Consider the following 6,358-nt stretch of genomic DNA (forward strand, 5'->3'; position numbering starts at 1 on the left):
AAAGAGAGATTTTTTTCTTTTCAATGTGGAAGAGTTAAATTATCTTTTCCTATTGTGGTTTTGTTTCAGACAGTATTCATAAGAAAATTCTCTTATTCTTTTTACTAAATGACTCACATATTTTGTTTCAAATTTAAGTTTTTAATCCCACTGGGATGAATTTAGTGTAAGGCGTAAGTACGGATCCACAATGTTTCAATATGGATATCTGAATGGTTTAACTGCTTTTATTTTATTTATTTATTTATTTATTTATTTATTTATTTTGAGATGGAGTCTCGCTCTGTCACCCAGGCTGGAGTGCAATGGTGTGATCTTGGCTCACTGCAACCTCCGCCTCCCGGGTTCAAGCGATTCTCCTGCCTCTGCCTCCCAAGTAGCTGGGATTACAGGTGCCCACCACCACGCCAGGCTAGTTTTTTGTATTTTTAGTAGAGAGGGGGTTTCACCATGTTGGTCAGGCTGGTCTTGAATTCCTGACCTCAAGTGATCCGCCCGAGTGATCTGCCCGCCTCCACCTCTCAAAGTGCTGGGATTACAGGCGTGAGCCACAGCGCCCGGCCATGACAGCTTTTAAAATAGTCATCTTTCTAAATTGCCCTGCTGTTTCCACTTTCTCATAGGTATCTGTTTCCATTTTGTTTCTTCAGTTTCATTGGCTTGTCTCTATTTTTTCCAATACAAAGCTATCTTAATTAATTTATTTTCATCATAAATTGTAAGGTCCAGTAGATAATTTCTCTTATGTTATTACTGCATGAGAGTGTCTTTGGTTTTCTTTGGTGTGAGGTTTATTTTTTCATATTAATTTTGCATCAGCTTATGAAGGACATTAGGAAATCTGGTTGAGGTTTTGGCTGGAATTAACATTGACAATTTGGGTGGAATTGATATTTTTTATGATTTCAACTTTTCCTATTGATATTTGCAGTATAAATCTCCATTTATTTGCTTTTATTTTTTTTCTCTTATGAATAAGTTCACCTTTAAAATGGTGAAACCATAGTATTCATCTCCCAGGGTAGGTTAAATTTCTTACAATAGTGAGGGGACTATAAAATACTTTTTATCTTTGGTGAAATTTACCCCTAAGTTCATAGCATTTGAGTTTGCTATTGAAAAATTTGTTATTTATATTTTTAATTTAACAATTACACATTTTTTTTAAACCAGTTAATCACCAAGTATGCTAATCCTAAATTACATTTTCTCTCCTCACTGATGTGTGTGTCCCCTCTGTAAGACACCATGTGGATATAAATGCTAAGTATGATTATGGGCCTCTGGTCTTTTCCTGTGAGCTACTTTGTCTCTCACTGTGCCTATACCACTGTCTTGATGAGTCTGGCTTTCAAAAACCTTGATTGGTAGTAAGGCACGTGCTCCAAATGTGTTTGTTTCTTTTACAGATATTTTTGAGTTTTCTTACCTCTCTTTTTTTCAAATATATGTGAAAATCTGGCTATCGATGTCCTCACTCAACCTAGTGGATATTTTAAGTGGAAAAATATTGTATATAGAGAGCATATTGAAGTGTGAGATGCTTCATGTATGGAACTATCTTATGCATGAACATAGACCTGATTAAGTTATGTGCATTGACAGGTTGGAAAGATGCATTTAAGATTTAAGAACAATCAATGACTTCCTCTGTTTCCACTAGAGTCCCCACAAAATTCAAACACATTAGGGGAAAAACATAGATGAAGTCCAAAATATTTTTAAAAATAGCTCACAGATAATGACTCATAGGACAAAACATTTAGGGTTGGAGCTCAGCCAGCTTTAAGTTCTCAGAGCTTAAAGGGTCAGGGTCACTAGCTCAAACCTGAGGCCCCTAATCAGCCTGGCACCTGTCCTAAGGTTGGAATGGGCTGATACTTTGCACTGGACACTCTTGTTCCCTGAGAGATGCCCACTTTGCTCTACTTGCCTCATTTGTTCTAATAAGATCCTATACTGGTGATGTCAGCAGGTGTCTGATACAAGGAAATATGGTGTATGGAGTGGGAGAGGTGAAGAGTAGTGAGGTAGTGATTTCATGGTGTGGGATACATTAGGACCAACCCACTTAGAAAAAAATGGCTTTCGCAACAATTTTTTACCACTAATGCCCTTGGCAAAAACATCCTTAAGAACAATTGCCCTTAGCACCAACACCTTTAAAAATATGCCTATCACAACAATGACTTGTTAATAATGGCCCTTAGCAACAAATCCCATAGCAACAATACCCTTAGCATAGACACCATCAGGAATAATGCTTTAAGACAACATTGTTAATATTAACCCTTTTAGCCAAAAGACTCTTGGCAACATAATCTAAGCAACAGTAACATTAGAAAAATGCCCTCAGCTATAACACTATTTGCCACAGTTGCTCTTAGCAACACCTTTGACTGACATTAACACTCCTAGAAGCAATATCTTACATTAGCAATCATGGACCTTAACAACCACCCCAAACAACAATGACCTTAGCAACAAATAGCTTGAAATGAATACCTTTACCAAAATGTCCTTTAAAAAAATGGCCTTTAGCATCAAGACCCTTAACAAAAATGGCCCTTAGGAACAATGACCCTAGAGACAACACTCATAACATAACAACAATGGCCCCTAACAACAATGTCCTTAGCAGCAACATCATTAGCAATGGTGCACCTTACTGACAAATCTCTAAGCAACAACAGCCTTAGCATAATTGCCTGTAGAAATAGTGGGAATTATGCCAATTGCAACAATGCCGTTGGCAACAATGTCTTTAAAATCAATGTCCATAGCAACAATGCCCTTAGGAACAATGGTATGTCCATTTACCTCTATAAATTGCCATGGTACTTTGGAAATGGGCAAACCATGGCCTGTTAGTGTATCTTAGCAAAAATACCCTTAGAAATAATACCTTCAAAAACCATGGCCCTTAGCAATAACAAAATTAGAAATAAAGCAATTAGCAACAATGCCCTTACAAAAATGTCCTTTATAGTGGCATTAACAACAGCACTCTTACCAATGGCACCTTAGTAAAAATGCTTTTAGTATCAACTCCTTAGCAATAATGACATCAGCAACAGTGTTGTTGGTAACAGCACACTTTACAGCAATGCCCTAGCTACAAAATACATAATATCAATGAACTTAGCAACAATGGCTCCTGGAGAAATGCTCTGAATGGTAATACTCATAGAATCAACACTCTTAACATCAGTACCATTAGCAAGAAAGGGGTAAACAACTGACCTTAGAAATGACATTCTTAATAATGTCCTTAGTAAAAAAATCATGCGCATCACCCCTATAACCAGTGCCCTTAGCAACAGTGCTCTTATCCAAACTTGCCTTACCAAGAGTTTACCATTGTTTACCTTATAAACAATGGCCCTTAGCAACCACACTCTTTGCAACAATGTCCTAACAATATTACTATTAGCAAAAATCCCCTAAGACCAGCATTCTTGACAACAGCCCTCTTGGCCCTTAGAAGCAATGACTTTAGCAACCAACAGTGAGCCATAAAAATAAAGCCTTGGTAATAATGCTGTTAGCATTGACCTTAGTAAAATGGTCTTAGCAACAGTCTTTAGCAAGAGTGACTCTAGAAATGTCCCCTTCCCAACAATGCCCTTTGAAGAAAATACCTGTAACAACAATGCCTTTAGTCACAATGCCTTCAGCAAAAATGTCCCTTGCCAACATTAACACCCTAGGAACAATGATCTTAGAAACAGTGTCCTTAACAATAATATACAAAAACATTCTAAGCAATAGTACCCTAAGCAACAACATACTTAGCAGTAATACCCTCAGTAACAATACTCTTAGCAACACGAGATTTAGGATCAGTGCTGGTAGAAACAGCATCATGAGAAACACTAGCAATAGTAATAATGCCTTTAGCCACAATGACCTTCAACAGTTCTCTTATGAACATCACCCATAACTACAATGGCTCCAGGAACAATGCACTTAGAAATAACTTCCTTAGCAACAGTGACCTTACTATCGATGCCAATTGAAATATCGCCCTTAGGCACGTGTTCCATGGCAGCAACATCATTAGTAACCACAGCTTTTGTAACAATGACTTTTAGCAAAAACATTAGCATAGTGCCTTAACAAAGGCCCTTAGAAACAATGCAACTACAGGCCGGGCAACGTGGCTCATGCCTGTAATCCCAAGCACATTGGGAGGCTGAGGTGGGTGGATCACTTGATGTCAGGAGTTTGAGACCAGCCTGGCCAACATGATGAAACCCCATCTCTACCAAAAATACAAGAATTAGCTGAGCATGGTGGTGCACGCCTGTAATCCCAGCTACTCGGGAGGCTGAGGCAGGAGAATCACTTGAACCCGGGAGGCAGAGGTTGCAGTGAGCTGAGATCATGCCACCACACTCCAGCCTGGGCAACAGAGGGAGAATCCATCTAAAAAAAAAAAAAAAAAAGAAAAGAAAAGAAAAGAAAAAAGAAACAACGCAATTATCATCAATTCCCTTAGCAACGGATCCTTTAGAACATAATGCTCTTAACAACAGCACCCTTAGCAACAACATCCTTGACAACAGTGTACTTAGCAACAGTGCCTTTAGCTAAAATGGCCTTTGGTAAAATCAACTTTAGCAACAATGCCCTTATAAAAGATGCCCCTTGTAACAGTGTCCTTAGCCAGAATCCCTTTAGGAACAATGCCTTTACCAAAATGTATTTGCAACAATGTCCTTAGCAAGAGTCCTTTTGTAACAATACTCTTAGAAACAATGCTCTTACTAACATTCCCTTAGGAACAACACTGTCGGTGACATTAATGCTCTTAGCAACAATGACCCTTGAAATAATGCCCTTCAAACAATGTCCTTAGAAACAATTGTACTTAGACACAATGACCTTTCATAACAAATGCCCTTAATAACAACCCCGTCAGCAACAATGCCCTTAGCCTCAGTTCCTTGAGTAACAGTGCTATTAGCAGTAAACCCTTAGGTAAGATGCCTTTACCACAGTGCTTTCAGTAATAACGTGTTTAACTTCAACACCCTTAGAAACAATGTTCTTAGCAAAAATGGCCCTTAGCAACAAAGCTCTTATGGATTCACTAAGAAACAGTCCCCTTAGCAACAGTGCCTTTAGCAATAATCACTTTAGCAACAAGACACTTTACAAAAGTGCCTTGCAATAATGTACCTAACATCAACATTCTTAGCCATAATGAGTTGTAGTAAAAATTATCTAAACGTATTTCTAGCATCAGGGCCCTTAACATCAAAACTCTTAGATTTAACGACTATAACAATAATATCTTTAACACAGTTCCTTCGTAACAGCCCCTAACAATAGTCTTGGGAACAATGCCTTTACTAAAATGCATTTAAGTTAAACGGCCTTAGCAGCACTGTCCTTGGCAATATTAGATCTTAGTGGCAATGCTCTCAGCAGCAGTGGTACTCAGCAATGATTTCTCTTACAACACCCTTAACAACAATACCCATAACAGCAGCACACTTTAAAAAACAGGCTTAGCAACAATGTCCTTAACATCAATGCCTTTTGGAACATCAACCTCAGCGACAGTTGCACTTACTAAGAGTGCCTTTGGCATCAGTCCCCTTAGCAATACCACCATTCAAACCAATACCCCTTAGCCAAAATGATTCTAATAACGGCACACTTTATTCTTTTTGACAGAGTTTCCTTCTTGTTGCCCAGGCTGGAGTGCAATGGCGTGATCTCGGCTCACTGTAACCTCCGCCTCCCAGGTTTAAGCCATTCTCCTGCCTCAGCCTCCCAAGAAGCCGGGATTACAGGTGTGCACCACTACGCCCAGCTGATTTTGTAATTTTAGTAGAGATGGGGTTTCACCATGTTGGCTGGTCAGGCTGGTCTCAAACTCCTGACCTCAAGTGATCCACCGGCCTCGGCCTTCCAGAGTGCTGGGATTACAGGCATGAGCCAGCGTGCCCGGCCAACAGCACACTTTCAAACAATACCTTAACATCAACATCCTTAACTCTCTTTGCAACAATACCCTTAGGATTAAGTCCCTGAGCAATAGAGTCATTAACAGCAGTGTATTTAGTAGCAATGCCTCTTTACTGTAATACACTTAACAATAATGAACATAGTAACAATGCCCTTAGCCATAAAGGACTTTACAACAACAACCTTAGCAACGACACTCACAGTGACAGTGCCCTTCAAATGAGTTTCTTAGAAACAGTGGTCTTAGGATCAACATTTTAGCATGAATGCTCTTTGCAACAATTATTCTAGGAAAAGTGCTTCTAGCAACTAGCCCTTTAGCAACAACACACTGAACAAGAATGCTCTAGCAAAAATGTACTTAATAACAACATCCTTA

The sequence above is a fragment of the Homo sapiens genome, chromosome 9, assembly GCF_000001405.40.
Source record: "Homo sapiens chromosome 9, GRCh38.p14 Primary Assembly".
Taxonomy (NCBI): domain Eukaryota; kingdom Metazoa; phylum Chordata; class Mammalia; order Primates; family Hominidae; genus Homo; species Homo sapiens.